Source organism: Homo sapiens, chromosome 2, assembly GCF_000001405.40.
Source record: "Homo sapiens chromosome 2, GRCh38.p14 Primary Assembly".
Lineage (NCBI taxonomy): Eukaryota > Metazoa > Chordata > Mammalia > Primates > Hominidae > Homo > Homo sapiens.
The window spans coordinates 140,311,419-140,332,957 of record NC_000002.12 but is presented as its reverse complement, the minus strand read 5'-3'; the positions used below and the strand labels follow the sequence as shown (position 1 = coordinate 140,332,957).

The following is a 21,539-nucleotide window of genomic DNA, read 5'->3' as shown; positions in this document are numbered from 1 at the left end:
AAACACAGTTTTTATTTTTAAAATACTTCTTTGGTGTTATTTTACATAATCATTATTAATAGTATATGTAACATGTTTTTATTTTAAAGAATGACACTGGCAGCAGTTTGTGGAATTACCTGTAGCACGGTACTTAGGCGAGTGCCTAAAATGAGAATTCTTGTAAAAGTCATTTATGACGGTAGTTGTATGCAGAAGAAAGCTGTAAAGACAGAGGGAGAGAAGGGGAAGGAGCACAGTAAACTGTGTTTCAGGTCGAGGCTAGTCTTGGTTTGAGCCACTATTTGGAGTATAAATTTATGACAGGCAAGGGGATCTGCTTTTGATATGCCCCATCAATCATTAATTGGCCTTGGGGCTGTGATGTTCCAAGCAAAGCTGCTTCAACCAGTTAAGCACAATTATCTGGAGAAGGAGGGTATGTGCGAGTCCTCACTACAAAAGCACCAGTGAGGAATTGGATACTCCTGTTTAGTAAAGGAGATCTGCATAAGGCACCACAGTGTCTCCAACACTGGGACCAGTGACAGATGCATGGATCTGACACTTTCCATGTATTACCCATTCTGCTCAACAACTCTTATGGGCAACTTAGTGATAAACAAAACACAGTCCTTTTTCTCACAAATTTACGTTAGAGAAAGAAAAAAAAATGAGGCATATGCAGAATTGTAGTTTTTGCAAAAGGTAAGAATTGTGTCATTGTCGTGTTTTATAACAGCAGAGTTCAAAGGTGAGAAAGATAATCTCCAATAAAGAAAAACTGTGTGAAAAGTGACATTTGAATAAGTACTTGAGGGATAAACAGGTAATCCATCATGAGGAAATTTTTAAAAAGCTCTTCATTGGAGTCAGATACACCTGGTTTTGAATCTCAAGGGATTATTTATTAGCTGTGAGACCTCAGAAATGAATTTATTACCTTCAAACCTTGGCTTTATCAATAGAAAATCAAAAGATTGGCTGGGTGTGGTGGCTCATGTCTGTAATCCCAGCAATTTGGGAGGCCAAGGAGGGCAGATCACCTGAGGTCAGGAGTTTGAGACCAGCCTGCCCAACATGGCAAAACCCTGCCTCTACTAAAAATACAAAAAATAAGCCAGGCATGGTGGTATGTACCTGTAATCCCAGCTACTCGAGAGGCTAAGGCATAAGAATTGCTTGAACCCAGGAGGCGGAAATTGTAGTGAGGCAAGATCCCACCATTACACTCCTGCCTAAGCAACAAGAGCGAAACACCCTTTTAAAATTATATATATATATATATATATGTATATATATAGTGATAACTAACTTTAAAAATGCCAGATATATGAAATAATATAGTCCTCTGAGCCAGGGGCTCCAATGTACAGCATATGGATGCTCTGCTGATGTCAGGAATCATGGCACATGTAGAAGGGCACAGGTTGGGTGACATAATATGTGAGAAGAGAACACCTTAAATGCCAAAGGGCTTCAACATAACTTTTTAGCCAATATTGAGCCATTGTATAATTTTAAGGAGTGATTCGAATATGTGCCTTCAAATGACACACTGATTATTATTGTTATTGGGCACCGTATAAGACACAATAAAAATATGTTGTTTCAATCAAGTGTGTGGCAGGTAAGCAATGTGTTCCATGACAGCAGGAACATGAAATATTTTGCTGAGGATAATGGCTTCAAGCTGCATCCACGTCCCTGCAAAGGACATGATCGCATTCCTTTTTATGGCTGCATAGTACTCCATGATGTATATGTACCACATTTTCTTTATGCAGTCTATCATTGGTGGGCATTTGGGTTGATTCCGTGTCTTTGCTATTGTGACCAGTGCTACAGTGAACATACACATGTGTGTATCTTTACAATAGAATTATTTATATTCTTTTGGGAATATACCCAGCAATGGGGTTGCTGGGCCAAATAGTATGAAATACTATTGTAGTACTATCTAATAGTATGAAGTACTATTAGATTATTTCTCTAATAATCAGTGATGCTGAGCTTTTTTTCATATGTTTGTTGGCCAAAGGCATGTCTTCTTTTGAAAAGTGTCTGTTCTTGTCCTTTGCACACTTTTTACTGGGGTTGTTTTTTCGTGTAAATTTGTTTAAGTTCCTTGTAGATTCTGAATTTAGACTTTTGTCAGATGGGTGGATTGCAAAAATTGTCTACCATTCTGTAGGTTGTCTGTTCACTCTGATAGTTTATTTTGCTGTGCAGAAGCACTTTAGTTAAACTAGATCCTATTTGTCAATTTTTTCTTGTTAACAATTGCTTTTGGCATCTTCATCATGAAATCGTTGCCTTTGCCTATGACCTGAATGGTATTTCCAAGATTTTCTTCTAGGAATTTTATAGATTTGGGTTTTACATTTAAGTCTTAAATCTATATTAAGTTAATTTTTGTATAAGGTGTAAGGAAGGGGTCCAGTTTCAATTTTCTGCATATGGCTAGCCAGTTCTCCTAGCACCATTTATTAAATACAAACTCCTTTCCCCATTGCTTGTTTTTGTCAGGTTTGTTGAAAATCAGATGGTTGTAAATGTGCAGTCTTATTTCTGAGCTCTCTATTCTGTTCCATTGGTCTATGTGTCTGTACCAGTACCATAGCTTTTGGTTACTATAGCCTTGTAGTATAGTTTGAAGTCAGGTAATGTGATGCCTCCAGCTTTGTTCTTTCTGCTTAGGATTATCTTAGCTATACGGGCTCTTTTTTGGCTCCATATTATTATTATTATTATTATTATTATTATTATTATTATTATTGAGACAGAGTCTTGCTCTGTCGCCCAGGCTGTAGTTCAGTGATGCTAGTCTGGTTCACTGCAGCCTCTGCCTCCCGGGTTCAAGCAATTCTTCTGCCTCAGCCTCCCAAGTAGCTGGGATTACAGGCACCTGCTACCATGCCCAGCTAATTTTTGTATTTTTAGCAGAGACAGGGTTTCACCATGTTGGCCAGGCTGGTCTTGAACTCCAGATCTCAAGCGATCAACCCGCCTCAGCCTCTCAAACTTCTGGGATTATAGGTGGGAGCCCAGCCCATATGAATTTTAAAGTAGTTTTTTTGTTTTTGTTTTTTTTTCTAATTTGGTGAAGGATGTCAATGGTAGTTTAACAGGAATAGCAGTGAATGTATAAATTACTTTGGGTAGTATGGCCATTTTCACAATATTGATTCTTTCTACCCATGAGCATGGTAGGTTTTTTTCATCTTGTGTTTTCTCTGGTTCCCTTGAGCAGTGGTTTGTAGTTCTCCTTGAACAGGTCCTTCACCTCCCTTGTTAGCTGTATTTCTAAGTATTTTATTGTCTTTGTAGCAACTGTGAATGGGAGTTCATTTATGATTTGGCTCTCTGCTTGCCTATTGTTGGTGTATAGGAATGCTTGTGATTTTTGCATATTGATTTGGTATCCTAAGACTTTCCTGAAATTGCTTATCAACTTAAGAAGCTTTTGAGCTGAGAAGACGGGGTTTTCTAGATATAGGAACACGTCATCTGCAAACAGAGACATTATGAATTTCTCTCCTCCTATTTGAATACACTTTATTTCTTTCTCTTGCCTGATTGCCCTGGCAAGAAATTCCAATTCTGTGTGGAATAGGAGTGGTGAGAGAGGGCATCTTTGTCTGTGCCAGTTTTCAAGGGAAATGTTTCCAGCATTTGCCTATTCAGTGTGATATTGGCTATGGGTTTGTCATAAATGGTTATTATTTTGAGGTATGAGGAACATGAACTCTTTTGTTGTCTGCTCTGTGCATAGTACCTGGCAGTGTGTGGTACAGGGGAGGTACCCATGAGTATGTAGGGTTAATGAATGGTGTGTCAGACAAGGATACTTTCCAGCTTTGCATCCAGTAAGGAGAGTATGTAGTATTACATGAGTTTGATTTCAAACTACATTCCTTGATATTTAAAAGCTTATTTACATTGCCTCCTAGCTCCCCCAGATTGCAGCAATTTCTAAGAAAATAAATAACTACATACTGGTCCTGGACCACTCATAATTAATTGTTTGATTCAATAAGCAAATTTGTTGGCCAACATAATGTCTCTAGTTAAATAAAGTGGATATGAATGTTAGGATTATTTTGCTGTTATTTGAATTTAGTTTACCATCACTGTCATAAATAGATGTGTGTGTGTATGTGTATGAAAAATAAGTGTGTTTGTGTGTGTGTATGAAAACATGACTTTAATGTAGTTTCTAATCTGAAACTCTAACAATTTTTTAAAATAAATTTGACATAATGGTATGTATCCAGCTTTTTTGGCTCCTTTATCACCTCTTAAATCAAGAATATGGTAATTCACACTTGGTGGTTATTACTATCTTACAAATTTTGGCTTTCCATTAAAACAGAATGGATATAATTTTCTCTAGTTCTGAAAAACAGTGATTTAAATTTATTGTTCTCTCCAAGTCCTGCCTCTTAATACTGTGGTCATTTCACATAATATTTTGTTTTCTTCATTTTCTTTTTTTTTTTCTTTCATTTTCTTCCAGCCTACAATGGAAATTGGGGAACTAGTAGATCTTAGAAAATTTTAGAGTTTGACAAGAGTGAAATTTTAAAATCCCTAAAATATAAAGTAGTCTTGGTATCAAGGGAGATATACTGAAAATGACTACATAATTAGCTCCATTATCCTGTGTCACTAAAACTTAGTGAGCCTATGTATCTTTTATAAACTGTTCAAATTGTGATTCTATTATACTTAATTAAAACAAGTATGACATTTTATTTCAAATTTTCTGTGCTCCTAGTGACTTGGTTCCAAATATTCATCTTCCTCTGTTCAGATAAAAATGAGTTTCTTGAGAATTGATTTTTTTCCACTTTATTATTGGTTCTTTATTACAGAGCAAAAGAAGACATGATATTTTAAAGATAGACATGAACTTTTTTCATATAAACTTGATTCTCATCTCTGTAACAGGAAAAGTTAGTTGATTCCTTTATTAACTTTTTAATTTAGAAGACTATCTCTTTTATTAAAGGGCTTAATAGAAAATCAAAAGTATTGATTTGTGGATTTTTGGAGTATAAATTCCATTCATCCATAAACTTTGTTATATAATTTTTATCAAGATGTAATTCCATCCAATAGTACAAAATATGGCCAGAGCTGATAAAAGTGGGTCTTAGACAAACCTAGACCAACAATGCAATATGTGACACTTTTGAGACCTTTTTACTGCTTCTGAAAAACAATATTGTTGATTAAATTGGATTACATACTCACTGTTTTCTTCCTTTCTGTGATTATCAATATTAATGTTTTTAAGTCTAAAACTAATGTTACCGGGAACAGGTTTTTGTTTTAGCTACTTCTTTATTGTAGCACATTGGTAGAGGAGAGAGAATCATGTTTTATGTTTTTAACCCTTCTCAGTCAACTGTTTTGAACTATAGGAGCAGCAGCAAAAAACTGGGTAATTTGTGGTTCATATTACTCATAATTCTACATGAAAATGCAAAAACATATCTTCTTACATGACTTCAAATAGCGATTTAATAATTGAGCAGAAACCAGTAAAACAATGACCACTTGCTTAATTATTATTTCTCAGGATCTGGTCAGGCATGATACATCTCTATACATTACTTGAGGAACAAAATATTTAGTTCGATTACATGTGAGCTAAATATTTGTATTTAACTGAAGAATTATTCACTAGTGGTTTCCAATGTGGATTATTTCCATTCTGATTATTAAGTCTTGGTCCAGTTACACAGGAATAAAAGTCTAGCACAGACTCAAAAGTACCTTTCATTCAGTTGCGTTGCCATTAAAATGTACTTCAGTTGCTTATTGAATGTTTTCATTGGGAACACTCTTCAGTTGCCTAAGGTATTTAACTGCATTGTACTTCCGAAGTATGCAATATGTCATATTCAGACAGTAGCTATGTCACAAAAGTTAATCTACAGCAGTGAAGATGTATTATAGAATTCATGAGTCATACATATTACTCTTCCATATTGAAGGAAGTTTACTTTCTTAGATATTCTCTGTGTTGATGATATTTCTACAAAAATATACTGGATGGATTCCAATCACATTCATGAAATCAAAAAATGAAACTAAAAAAGTAGAAAAATATTATTTTTACTGTGTATTATTTCAGTCCATTATCATTCACTGACATCTACCTGTGATGAAACTGAAGACAAGCACTCTCAGAGAAAATTAAATATCACTAGAACCTTAATCGAGAACTTTACTGTTTATTCTTCCCTACCATAAACATTTTTTTTTTTTGAGGCAGGGGGTCTCACTCTGTTGCCTAGGCTGATCTCAGCTCACTGACCTCTGCCTCCCAGGTTCAAGTGATTCTCCTGCCTCAGCCTCCGGAGTAGCTGGAATTGCAGGTGCCAGACACCACTCCCTGCTAATTTTTGTATTTTTAGTAGAGACAGGGTTTCACCATGTTGGCCAGCTGGTCTCAATCTCCTGACCGTCCCGCCTCAGGCTCCCAAAGTGGTGGGATTACAGGCGTGAGCCACCACACCCAGCTAATATCAATCTTTAGTCACATTAACTTCAGCATGCACACAGATATCCGATAACACCGTTGGCCAACTCTGAATGGGTGAAAATATATTTTAATTAAATACATGAACCTTGTATATTCTGAGAACTGTACCTTCGTGAAGGAATTAAAAATACATATACTAATTCATTTTAAATAATGGTCCGATAAATGATTTAAATAATGAATTCATTCTCCATATAATATGAAGATGAAAATGGAAATATTAAAGAAAAGTCTATTAGAGAATAGCTAAAATTAAGAAACCACAAATATGGCTAGAAGGGATATTTAGGACAGACTTTCCTATGTGAAATAAGACTTTTGCTAGAATTTGTTAAGTAAATGCCATGTAGTCTGAACCTATGTATTTGAGATAAAGACTGAGTTACTTTTTCTAATTTCTACAGTTTCATGATGGGCACCAGGTAATTTCTATGATGCTTGAAGACAAATGTCAAGTGTAATTATACAATAAGAAGCAAAAGTATGATTTTGAATGATTTCAAATTTACTTGCACTATTTGTCTTGTGTGTGTTGATTTTGCAGGTTTGGCTGTGGATTATTTTAGTGAACGCATATATTGGGCTGACTTTGAGCTCTCCATCATTGGCAGTGTTCTGTATGATGGCTCTAATTCAGTAGTCTCTGTCAGCAGCAAACAAGGTTTGTGAAGTGCTTTTGTCTTCATTTTTAATTGTTACTGAGAGTGTTAAATACTAATACAAAAATGTAAGTATGGATACTTTACTTTGCATTCTGGATTTTCTTAAATTCTTTCTCCTTTCAACTTATAAGGCTTACTAGTAATTAAAATTTTCATTCCTACTGGAAAAAAATAGAGGCCAGGGCAGAAGTTTGTCCATCTTGACTTGAACAAACATGGCCATTGCTGCCCAGATTCAGAAAATAATTTCATTCTGTGGCTTCCGTGGCTATTCCATTCTGAGCAGAACACTTTCAGTAGTCAAGATCAGCACCTGTGGACACTAACTTTTATTTCAATTGCAATAACAAGCAAACAATGAGTTACTGTATGTAGCAAAATATCACAGTAATGATTGTTACCACCGAAGGATATACCCTTATTCACATAAACAGTGATGTGTCAAAAATGACCATTTAACTCTACCACCAGTGACTGCTTAATCTACTTGTGCTCCTCTGTTGCTATACCGGTTTTATGCCCACCTATCTGCCTGGCTCCTATTTTTTACTGTCTCATATTTCCAGCTCCCTTCTCTTCCTCATACTTTTTCTCTGCCTGGCTGTCTCAGTTCTTTCTGCTGAATTTAATTTCTTCCCTTTCTGTTTCACTTTCTTTTCCCTACTTCAACTCCTTCCCACAATTTTTTTGTAACCACAAATTATCATATCCACTTTAAATTTTTATATTTGCATGTTATATATTTACTGAATATAGCTTTGCTTCCCTTTTTTTAATAACACAGGGAAGTTAAAAGAAAAACAACTAAATCAAATTTTTATTGTGCCTTTGCCTAAAGTGTGTGTGTTTTTTTTTTAATCAATGGCCTCAGATGGAAAAAAAAAAAAAAAGTTCAGATCCCTGTAATTAATTACAATGAAGTTAACTTGTTCTGGCTTTGGTACACATTTTACTATTTCATGAAACAGCAAAGAAAAATATATGAATATAAAGACACTTTATACTTTACAACCTCTAGATAATTAGTAAAATATAAATGTCGTTTTGTTATAAATTTCAGTTTCAAAAGTTAGAATAATTATTCTATAAAATCTCTGAAAATAAATCACAAGATGTGAAAATAATGGTTACTATTATTTTTAGACAAACTAATCAGATGAAGAATGATTTTCATTTAACTGTTTTCTTTATTCCACTTCTGAAATGAATAATAGTAATGTCAAATATTATTTTTGGATTTACTCATTAAAAATCAACTGATTGATTGATTGCTTAATAAACCAGTCATTTGGGCATGTAATTTGATCATTTATTTGATCCAGAACACAAACTGAGTTGTGTAAATTGCCTGTTTGTATACTACAGATAACATTGGCTTTTCTTTTGTCAACTGCATAGCAGAGAGGATTAGTCTGCAAATAATAACCCCCAGAAAATGCTTTGTGATGGTAAAGATGGTTAAATGATGATGGAAGTGTATTTTTATGTTTTAAGTAACATGTTTACTATATTGCATATCCTTACTTCAGATATATTAATTCTAAGAACTTCATAGCTAATATTGTAAATATTCCAATTCTGAAAGTTTATTTTTAAACAGTAATAAGGTTTTCAATATCGTCTTGGATAAACATAGTTTTTAAAGTCTGAGTATATACATTAAAACTTTCATAACTGCCTTTTTAAAATTCCAGGTTTATTACATCCACATAGGATCGATATCTTTGAAGATTATATATATGGAGCAGGACCTAAAAATGGTGTATTTCGAGTTCAAAAATTTGGCCATGGTTCAGTAGAGTACTTAGCTTTAAATATTGATAAAACAAAAGGTGTTTTGATATCTCATCGTTATAAACAACTAGATTGTAAGTATAATATATTATGAAGTTGTCTATATTGGTAAATTATTTTCTTGTATCTCTCAAAATAATATATTTTTAAATATCTTAACTATGTAAATGTCTTAACCTCAGTAACTTAAGTAACTTTAATTTTGATGTCACTAGACTTTTTCAACTTACCAAACTATAGATAATTCTATTTCTGCTGTAATTGGGAAAATGTTCAGCATTTGGCCATGTTTTCTTGAAATTAAAACTGTCTTTCTTACAATAATCTGTTATTCTGTTTCTAAAATTCTTTTATTTTATTATTATTATACTTTAAGTTTTAGGGTACATGTGCACAATGTGCAGGTTTGTTACATATGTATACATGTGCCATGTTGGTGTGCTGCACCCAGTAACTCATCATTTAGCATTAGGTGTTAATAGAACCTTGTGAGTGCATAGACGAACTATCTAAGGAAGGAAATTTATTGTTAGCCATTTTGACTCTTACCACTAATCAACAAGTAACTATCATTCTTAAATATATACAAAAAGAACTCTTCCCAAGAGTTGTATATTTTCTCTGATTTATTGTATATGACTTATTGTTAGTCTCCCTCCTAGAAAGGAGTGGGTAAGTCATTGAGGTAATTAAGGTAATTCTCTTGAAAATATATTTCTAACACAGCTATCAAAAACAGTGAACAACAAAGTGAAAAATAATAATATGGCTGAAATTCTAATGATCAGTTCGCTCTTCAAGATGCTGTTGAAGGGTTATTTGTAATTACTATTTATGGCAAATGAAATGGATTTTATCTTGTTTGGTGCATTTATCTGGAAAGATAACAGTTGGTGTTTATTCAAATCACTTCTCACAACAGATAAAACCAAATAGAGTTTCCTAAAACATCCTGAAATTTTATCCAAAGTCTTGCTGCTCTTTACCAATAATTTGGCATATAAGGTTCCAAGGTTAATATGAGGACAGTTTCTCTCATCCTCCAGTTCTTTTTTATATTCATAGTTGAATATTGCCACATTCATAAAAAGTAGACAAAACCCTGTCTTGAATATAATAGGCATTTGAGTAGTGGTTCTTCCAGAAAAAAAGCCACTCTCATAGTCACCAGCTCAGCTACCTGGGTGCCCTTTCTGTTTAATTCTGATGAAATAATCTCTAGGAAAGGTCAAAAATCAGCTATGACTGCAAAGGATGCTGATTGGATAAAAATTTAAACAAAAATATGTATGGCACACATTTAGACATGCACACAAACTCCTACTTGATGGAAAGGAAGCCACTTTAGACATGTCTTTTCAAAAAAAAAGTCGTATTTTTCATTTATACCTTGTACTGACAAGCTACATATGCATTTTCATCCTTTTTATTAATAAATACAAGGCGGGGGGATTGTTTTTGTCTGTTAGAACAGCTCTGTAAAATAAATAAGCTGTTGAAATGAAGGTCAGATCCCCCCAAAACTTCCATTGGCTTTAGTTTCCAACACAGTCCCAATGGTACTTCAGGTTCTAGGACCAACTCTTATGCCAAAAGCAATTAGAAGCAAAAGTAACAAGGTATAGATTTGAATAATTTCTTCTCTCTTTTGGAAAATATAAATAAGGCAAACTTACTATTAATGATGAGCATTGGGTAATTTTTCTTCACCTATAAAGGAGAATGATGATATTGAGTGAGATACTCCACATCAGTGGAAATTTAATGTGATTACTTTTCAACATTGCTAATTAATCATTTCGCCTTATTTAATTTTATGCTTTTGAAGCCTATTGTATCTATATTTACACACTTCTTTGTTTTCTTTTGTTTCACCAGTACCCAATCCATGCTTGGATTTAGCATGCGAATTTCTTTGCTTGCTAAATCCTTCTGGGGCCACTTGTGTGTGTCCAGAAGGAAAATATTTGATTAATGGCACCTGCAATGATGACAGCCTGTTAGGTGGGTATACTTTATTATTCTGTAAATAATGAATTAATCCTTATCATAAAATTTCACACCTCGTGAAATGGAGTGAAATTATCTGTTCCATCATCAGTTTAGCTACCTTGATAGCAGTGGTTCTTGAATGCCTGTGTAAACTGTACTTTTCTCTGGAGAAGACTTTCAAACAATTCATTCTGCATTTATTCACAAAGCAGCATTGAACATTTACAGGCACTTAACAACAGATCGAGAACTTTGAAGTCACTCACAGACCCAAAAGAGATTTTTTTTATAACTCTTCTATTAGATAAAACAATATTTTTTGAGAACATTCTGCTATGGGTTTCAACTCAGCCCCAAAATCCATTTATTTATTCAATACATTTCTATTGATTACCTCTTGTGTGCCAAACACTAACTTAGAAATTGAGAATTAATTTAGAAACCAAATTTTAGCTTCTTCTCTGTAAAATGGGACTTACAATACTACTACTACTGCTATTACCACAAAGAATAATAATAATTATTCTTTGATAATTATGATAATTATCATAATAATTATGAGGGCTGATGAAGGAAGGCATAACACTAATGTAAAAACTAAAAACTAACAGAAACAAAATGGATAAGATTTTTTTCATTCATGCAGTTTGTATTTCAGAAGCTAGAAGCTGGAATAATCAATAAAAATTGAAACATTACTTCAGATGCTAAATATTAAATAACAAAAAATAAAAAAAACACAAAACAGTATGGTAGCACAAGGAAAGAAAATATGTCTCTTGAATATCCAGCTAGACTGACAATAAATAAGTTACCTCATATTCAAGACATTAGGTATAATGGGGAAAATATTGTTACTAAAAGAAAATCCACACATAATACTTTTAAAAATTATTTTAATTTTATTCATTCATTCTTACTGAGACAGAGTGTTGCTGTCACCCAGGCTGGAGTGCAGTGGCATGATCTCGGCTCACTGCAACCTCTACCTCCTGGGTTCAAGCAATTCTCCTGCCTCAGCCTCCCAAGTAGCTGGGACTACAGGTATGTGTCACTATGCCTGGATAATTTTGTGTGTGTGTGTGTGTATTTTTAGTAGAGATGGGATATTGCCATGTTGGCCAGCCTGATCTCGAACTCCTGACCTCAGGTGATCCGCCTGCCTAAGCCCCCCAGAGTGCTGGGATTACAGGCATGAACCCCCACACATACTAAATTTTATGTCACAGACACAAAGGCAGTGTTCTTGCCAGGCGTGGTGGCTCACACCTGTAATCACAGCACTTAAGGAGGCAGAGACCAGAGGACAGCTTGAACCCAGGGGTTCGAGACCTGCCTGGGCAACATAGCAAGTACCCATTCTCCACAAAAAGGAAAAAAAAAAAATGTAGCGCTCCAAAATCACTGGAGGATCACAGCAAACATTTTCCAATGAGGTACAGACATTATTCATGGCAGGGTTTGTTACCTGTTGTATTTCCCTCTGCTAGAATGCACTCCTCACGTGGACTCTGGGTCCTTACCCTCACAGTCAGCATCTCCACCTCTGCATGATTTTTCTCTTTGTTCTCTGCTGAAGGTTACATCCAATTTGAAGACTTGTGCTCTTTATAAGGCACTCAGTGTCTAAAACTATTGTAGTACTTTCATTTTATATTCTTTAAGCATTTGATATGCAGAGCCGAAGCGTTTGAAAAGATGAATTGATGAATAAGATAAGCACCAATAAATAGATGTTTATGTGGCCAGTGACACAAGCCACAGAAGAGACAGAGTTAAAACTATTAGGAGAATTCAGATTATTATTCAAATAGGGGATCAGTCAGAATTTCCTATAGGATATGACATTTAAACAAGGTCTGCAAAGGCAGATTGGATTTAGATTAAATGGAAGGAGGGAGGAGGACACTAAGACAGAAAAGCTGTCTGAGAAGTATGGAAATATGGTGGGTAAAGGAAATAATAAGTCATTCATTTTAGTTAGTGTGTAGAAGTGTGAAGCCCTGTTTTGGGTAATAAGGTTGGAAAATTTGTAACAGAGAGCTAAGTGTGAATCATGATTGGTATTTTGGACGGGCATTTTGGTGCCAATTATTGAAAAGGGATGCCATCATGGCACTGGGATGCTCCCTTCCCCTTTATCCATTCTCCCAGTCAGAGTAGCTGTTATCTCAACTGTGATAGGGGAATAAGAGAATCAAGTGAACATTTCCAAATATTGTTAGTACCACGTTCTCAAAAGCTGTTCTGCCTGCGTCATAGAGGTAAACTCTGCAAAGTATCACCTAGGTATTAAGCCTAGTATCCATTAGTTATTTTTCCCAATCCTCTCCCTCCTCCCACCCTTCACCCTCCAAAAGGCCGCAGTGTGTGTTGTTTCTCTTGTGTATCCATGCATTCTCATCATTTAGCTCCCACTAATAAGTGAGAACATGTGGTATTTGGTTTTCTGTTCCTGTGTTATATTCCACTTAACCTCTCAGAAACAGATCCTTTAACTGTCGACAACTTTTCTGTAGAAATGTCATACCTTCAGCAGTTCCACATAATCCCTCACCCATTGCCCTCACAGGTGCCTCCTCTGTACTGTATCTACTTAGAAAATTTGGGTGAGAGAGGCATTTAGGAGAGAGATTAGGATAATGCACAGAAATAAACTAATAATGCTACCAAGTGACTTTTACATTGGCTCTGATGTTACAAGTATTGTTTAGAGTCAAGTTTCAGACAGTTTTTGGTGGTTTTCCTTTCCTCTTTTATGTAATCCTCTTCTGTGTAATCCCATGTTTCCACAACCTCTTCTACATAATCCTCCTCCTTTCCTCTTTGTTTGGTCCAAATTATGTGTCCAAAACTAAACTCTATGAATACCCTGCAAGGACATGACCTAGTACAGGGCTGAGATGAAGCTTTAGATTAGGCCGAAGTCTACCACTTAAATAACTTTGTTGTGCTTGGACTCTATACCTGCGTCCCTTGGTCTCAGTTTATTCTATATAACATCAAATTAACAATAAATACTACTAATATTACTACCACTGACATTAGTAATAATACTAAATATTTTGAAAACCTATGAGGAAAGCAAATTCTATGTATGTTTGTAGACATATATGAATTTATTTAATCTTCAGATTTTATTATCTAGTAATTTCTCCTATTTTACAGATAAAATGGAAGCATTAGAAGCTCATTTGATTGTCTAACATTACTTAGTAAATGGTGGCACCCCAGGGTGAATGTAGGTGGTCCACTCTGTTAATCGTCACACAATACATCCCAGTATCTCTGTGTCACCCAGAGTACCCATTTCCAGAGTTATTGGAAATTCTAGCTTCCAGAGTTATTGGAAATTCTAGCAATAACGTGCATAGAAGGGCTAGCACAATACCTTGCAAAAAGTAGACACATAGCCCTTTAAAATCAATATGTCACTTTGAGGTAGGTAAGAAAATGAAACAAGTTTTTGGCTGCATTAAGTCACCAAATTGTATCATTTTATGCTTGAAAGAAGGAATCTTGCTTATTTACATGCACACTTATCCACGATCTAAAACTTTTTTTGGAGATGTGTTTTGCTCTTTCAACCCTGCTTAAAAGGCATGATTTCAGAAACCTCAAAGCCCATTCTTGTAATGTAAGAGAAAATCTTACATTTAATCAAAGTGATAACAACACTCAAATTAGCCTTTACACATATAGGTCTTGAAAAATAAACAGTTTGGACCATTTTAGTTGGAACATAAATGAGTGGATTTCAGAATTATTGATTGCTGAAGATAAATGCTAGTTATTTTTTTTCTGACATTAACATTTGCTATAGCCAAGCTTTTCATTTCTTTATAATTATTTGCCTACCTCTGGCTGCTATTGTTAACTGATGAGCACCCTGAACATTTTTAATCTTTGTGTAAGAAATTTGAAATTCAAATATTACTCATTCTTGGGGAAGTGTTCACCTGCTTTTTCCTATAGTTGATTATAATTGCTGGAGGTTGGCTTCTGGGGGTGATTTAGTTATTGACAAAAGCAGCTTTCTTTTTCATTATAGAACCATTATTATGAGTTTTGCAAGAATGTAACTCCACTTCCATTTCATCAGGCAGTGTTGTACTTTAAAATTTCTGGTGCCTAATGAGGCACGTTATAGTAACGCGCATGCCCTAACATGTAAGGATTTTGAAAATCCTTGTGGTTTTCATAGAACTGACAGGTAAAAATGAGTACCCCATAATAATCCTATCTATGATCATAATGCCTTAAGTGCTTATCTTCACTGTCCACATCCACAACCTTTATTAGGACAAATAACGTTGACTGAGTTAGAAATGCTTTGGTAAATTTTAAATTAAACAAGCATATTTCCACTCTGCGTATTTCTTGAGAGTTTGATCTCTGTATTCAATTATTTGCTGGAGATTCCCACTTACATTTGCAAGGGCATCTTCAATTTAGTATGCCACCTCAAAACTACCCCTCCATTTCCCATCATCCTTGTGTTCCCACCTAATTGTCCTGGTCAGAAACTGAAGAATCATCCTTAATTTTTCCTCATTTTTCTTTACATAACACTGCTGTGATTTTTACCTCTGAATGACCTTTAGAATACATCCACATTTATTCATCCCACATTACTCTATTTTGGGTCATCATCTTACCTATCCTGGATAATGTATACGAAGTTCTGAGAGTCTCCCTGCTTTTTTAAGCTGCCATTTTAACCCCTGCCAGTACATTACCCTTCCAAGACACCACATTACCTTTGGGGTGGAGTCTAAAATCCATGGATCTTCTCTTACTGCTTCTTTCTTCAAAATCACTTACCTATTGTAATTCCTTTCTTTACCCTCTCCAATCCAGGTCCGCTTACAGTGACTTTCATTCATGTCCACTCACAGTAACTTTCATTCATTTCCTCCAGTGCTCACCCATAGGTCTGCCTAGATGGTATTCCGCCGGAGCTCCATCCTCTGTAAACCTTCTGGGCACTCGGTCGATAATGCTGAATAAGAATGCTACTTGCTTACTTTAACAAATGAACATATCAATCGCCTGTTGAAATTTTACAGTACACTTTGGAGACCCAACTGTCAGCGCTTCATCTTTCTCCTAGTCTAGATACAGTCGATAAGGGCTGAAGTCAAATTTTCATTTGTGTATATGTGTGTATGGTACATACTTAACACTTATGTACTTAATATTTACAAAGTGTTACAATTTTATATTTTATATTTTTTTTCCCATTTCTTATTTACTAGTCATACAAACCTGAGTTAACTTGTGTATTTGTCATTAAGGACATTTTAAAGTGAAGTAACTGAGGCTCAAATCAGGTAACTTGTATGCCTAGTAAGCGGCAGAACCAGGACCTACACGGGTCTCATTATACCACTGTAATTTTTTATATTTCTATTACGTCATGAGAGAGTTATTCATATTACAAATACAAACTTCAGTAATGCCAATCTGAATCCTGCCTACATGACAATGTATTAGAAACTTTTCAATGAGGCAAGTCTCAGAATTGTATGGCACTGCTGACAGTTTCTATTTATGACAGTGGACATGATACTTGAATCATTGTGTCATTTGAAGCCACTGAGGTGCTTAAAGATGCTCTTGAAATCATTGCAGTGATATATTCAAGCTTCTGTCATGTATGTGCCAGTGCATCTTGAAAAAGGATCATAAATTGTTTTGATTTTACCTACTTTAACTATAAAATGGACATTACTATAGTAAAGGGCATATTCTAGAATAGAATGCTTATTACAACTTTCTCAATCAGTTTTGTTCCATTGAACACTCTATGTTGCTCACAGCAAAGCAGCATTTCTAACGGAGAAGGCCATGCCAATATGCACAGCAAAATAACCTAGAAAATGATTCCAAACCTATCTTTATCATAAATTATACTTGCCATATTGTTAAAAATAATTTTGCTACCCCAAGGAATGTCCAACCTTTTTTATTCTGAGTCAAAATGTTATTAAGTAGGTAGACTCTACGGAATCATTTAGGATAAATGTTACACACAGAAATGTTTCTGACACTGTTCTGTCACCAACTTGTACCAAATCTCAATGACTTTTAGTTTGGGAGATTTATATATGGTTAATAAGGACCAACATCAAAGAGTCTCTCTTCATGTAAACATTTCTCTATACTATGTATATTCACACACGCATAGGCTATAGAACAAATAGTGTGTGTATGTGTGTGCATATGCTATAAATGTATCTTACAAATTTAAAGTTTTCTTTTTTAATAGCAACTACTCCTAAAAATAAGCTATGTTTGTCCATATTATAAGGAAGATTTCTTGGTTGGAAAATATAATACTTTTAGAAGCCTAGGCAACACAGTGAGAACCTGTCTCTACAAAAAATTTAAAAATTGGCCACGTGTGGTGGTGCACAATATAGTCCCAGCTACTTGGAAAGTGGAGGTGGGAGGATCACTGGAGCCCAGGAAGTTGAGGCTGCAGTGAGCTGTGATCATGCCACTGCCCACCAGTCTGGGTGACAGAGCAAGACCCTGTCTCAGTAAAATAAAAAAGAAATAAGATGAAAATATATTACTTTTAGAAAGTTTCAGTTAGTTTTACTATTCAGTATTTTACAAATACAAGAAAAGGTTAATAATGCTTTAAATTTAAAGAAGAATACACATTAATTTAATATGTATATTTACCATTCAACAACCAGAATCTATCTGTTTTCAGATAGTATTTAATTTTTTCTTCTTTTGTACTTGGGGTTAATTATTTTATGGAAACACAAGATCCTAGTATTTAAATATTGTATCTATTTGAATTATTTTATTAAATTACTCCCTGAAAACATGCTAATTTGTACATTTCTTCTCATAAACAGATGATTCATGTAAGTTAACTTGTGAAAATGGAGGAAGATGCATTTTAAATGAGAAAGGTGATTTGAGGTGTCACTGTTGGCCCAGTTATTCAGGAGAAAGATGTGAAGTCAACCACTGTAGCAACTACTGCCAGAATGGAGGAACTTGCGTACCATCAGTTCTAGGTAAATATTTCATTGTCATTGTATTTCACATCTTTTTCACTTTTCCTTATATATGAATCGAAAATGCTTAATGTTACAAATATACTTCCTAATATCTTAATGAACAATAGACTAACACAATATAATAACACAAAATTAAATCAATGGCATTTGTTCTAAATTCAGTATATAAAAGTTCAAGCCAAAAATTTAACAATTACTCTGGGTTGAGTATGTACCATGTGACAGGCTCAGTGTTTATAGATAATTTGCCCCTGGCTCAGAATGATTAGTAGAGCCAATTTTCCAAGCTTACTATGTTTGACCCCAAAGTTTATGTTTTGTTTTTGTTGTTGCACGTAGTTTTCCTAATGCTAAAAATCAATTGTTATTGAAAATTAGGATTATTTTAAATGTAAATAAACTGTAACAGAGAATCTGATAGCATCCTGATTCCCATCTAAAATTGTATCTATTCTTTTGGCATCACACTGTATCATATAATGTGCTTTGGAAATACAAGGTTTCTACATCTTAGGATATATTTGAGATTATTATTAATTTATGCAATAGCTATGCTTGCAGAAAGTGTTCTGTACAGCACATAAATGAACATAGAAACATATTCTTCTACTGACTTGTATTAAATTTAAAATGTGTCCCATGAGGAAAAAATAACCCCAATGCATAATAAAAATCTAATTTGCAAATTCCAATATTTAGTGCAAGGGATATTATGCAACTATTATAGTGCAATCTATGAGCACTTAATGTTACTACCATAAATGCAAATTTAGTCAAATGGAAAATTCTATATTATTTTCACATTCCCCTACATGGTTAATTTCTATCTTAGTGGGAGTTCTCACTGCTTCTATTGTTTATGCTGTGTTTTGAAGTATTTAATATAGTGCTAACTGAAAGAATTATATGAAGAATTTTCAGTGTGGATCTGAAAAATCAAGCTGTTTCTGAAATGCACTCTAATAGGAAAAGTTAGATAATTTTATGTCTATAAATATTTTCTTATTAATTCATAATGAAATTATTCTAATTACTTAATAGCATTCTGAAAAAATCAGGAGTTTGATTAGATTGAAATATAAACGGCAATAGGAGTCTTACCACATATTTTTATTCTGTTAAGGGAGGCTAGTTCATAAAGTATATTCTGTTACTACAGAAAAAATTGTAGTACTGTGTCCTTTATTGAATATACAAATAAGAATTCAGGTTCAAGGAATACGTGTGTGTATTTTATTAACACACATAATATCTCCTTTAGGGAAAAAGTTTTTCTCATAAAAAATTAATTGTTTGGAAATTTTATTATTTAATTAGTAACTTAATTTTCTCATTGAGATAATGAAAACCATGGTGTTATAGCTGGATGATTTATCTATATTTATATTTAGAAATATTTAGGCCAAGTAAACAATTTGGAATTCCAAACTATTGCTGCCTATTGAACCTGCAATGCATCTCAGGGATAAATCTCTACAAAACATTGAATTTGCTGTCTTGATGCATCCTGAGTTGTATATAGATACAGCACAACTTTTAATGTTTTGTTCAAATCATTTGTCTAAACTTTAATGCATGCTCAAAATCTGTAGTTCGATTTTGTCTGTGCACACAATTGTATCCTGATTTACATAAAATGTTCAAGAAAAATATTTTTAAATAATATAAATTAGTTCTCATTAGTAATGTAAATTAGTTCTCATATGGATTCAATATGAGATACAGACATGCAGTTTATTTTATAGCATCTAATAATAATTATATGATATGTAATTAAGTCACTTAAAAAGCATTTTTCACTTTTAAAATGTGGTTTTATAAAAACATTGTTTGGTATTTTAGACTGTAGAACCTCATTATCTCCACACAAATGTTAATTGGTTAAACAAATCCCAGTGAGCAATTCATGGATTTATTCATTGTTGGTTTACTTACAGTTAAGCCTTTTGGCAAATTCCTGTGTGGACACTATATAACTAGGGTTTGGGGCAGGCTTAATTATAATTTATAAGTTTATGACAGTTGTATAGGACAATAATAATTGAACAAAAGAAATGTCACTAATTAAAAGTACACATCGTTGAGGCATAATTAAAATTTTACATGTAGGAATGAGTTTTTCTCATTCCTTAAGGTTACTGTTTGTAATAATGAACACTAAAAATTAAATGTATGAGCTATATTCATACAAAAAGATACTAAAAATGAAATATTTTGATATTGATTATATCAATAAGGATTCATGTAGGCCATTTTTATGACCTGCTCATAGGAGGATAGATTTAAGATGAAATTTGCTTTTGACAAAATAATTGAAATCAGAGTAAAGCATAGTATTAAGCATTTGTTATTGAAAAATAGAGAAAATTTTTGAAAGATTTTATGCATCATAGATATCATTAAGACATTTTTGCTGTTAACAGCTATATTTACACTTAATCTTTACTTTTATGAACATTTATTCTCTATAGTATATTCATGATGTTTGGTATTTTTGTACTGCTATAGGTCTGTTATTTAGTCTTTTAATGTTTATATCAAAGTGAGTCAAACTTTCCTACCCAGTTGATTTAGAGGAATGGAACTAGAGGGTTTGTACTTTTGAGACAACATTCCCAATTACTTTCTTCTACTCCTAAAGTTTGGAGTTATGCTGAGGGGAAGTAGATGTTACTTTGGGAGTTTGTAAATATGCAAAAGCACAGCTAGCTAGGTTAAGAAGTGAAAGTGCAATTTGGGATATGGTGGGCACACATTTGAATTGAATATTTTAAGTGAATACCACAACAAGAAGGCAGAAGCTGTCATTGTAGCTCTCTCTGCCACCACATCTGAGGACTTTGGCAGTGAAGGATTTTTTTTCCCCCGGAAGTAAAGAGCATTCCTTCTCATTCATTCAAGGGTTTTCTGTCTTGGTAACTGTCCCCACATCAGATGGTAGAATTGCTCAAAGTCAAGTTAAACCAGAATTTTTGGATAACTTCAGAACATTATGAAACTAATGACAAAACATATGTAGTAAAGGATATCAAGTCACATATGTACGTGGGGCATAAAATCCACAGTCACCTAACTGATATCTTAAAGAGTGAACATTCATTTAAACTGCCCATCTTTGCTTTTCTTTGACTTCTCATTTAAATGAAGATATTTAAATCAATCTTTGCATCCTAGCTCCCTTAACATAGGTTAATTAATTATATTTAGGGAATGCTGAAAACTGGATATTTGGTTCTACTTGCCTTTTTTGGGCTTTTTTTATTTGTGTAAATTTAGGGAATACAAGTGCAGTTTTGTTACATGGATATATTGTGTAGTGGTGAAGTCTGGACTGTTAGTGTAACCATTAGCTGAATAGTGTACATTTTACCCATTAAGTAATTTCTTATCCTTTACCCTCCTCCCACCCTTCCACTTCTCCAATGTCTATTATTCCACAACATGTCTACGTGTACACATGATTTGGCTCCTATTTATAAGTAAGAACAGGTGGTAATAGACTTTCTGAGATGT

At 34.1% G+C, this 21,539-nt stretch overlaps 1 protein-coding gene across 3 annotated transcripts in view; it reads left to right on the top strand.

Annotated features, from left to right (window-relative positions):
* Positions 1–21,539, top strand: part of LRP1B (LDL receptor related protein 1B) — a 1,899,594-nt gene that overhangs the window by 1,798,059 nt on the left and 79,996 nt on the right. For all 3 annotated transcript variants that reach the window (NM_018557.3, XM_017004341.2, XM_017004342.1), the window contains 4 exons: positions 7,080–7,196; positions 8,892–9,065; positions 10,870–10,995; positions 17,859–18,023. In NM_018557.3, the coding sequence (NP_061027.2) occupies positions 7,080–7,196; positions 8,892–9,065; positions 10,870–10,995; positions 17,859–18,023 (582 nt within the window). The remainder of the gene's footprint in view (positions 1–7,079; positions 7,197–8,891; positions 9,066–10,869; positions 10,996–17,858; positions 18,024–21,539) is intronic.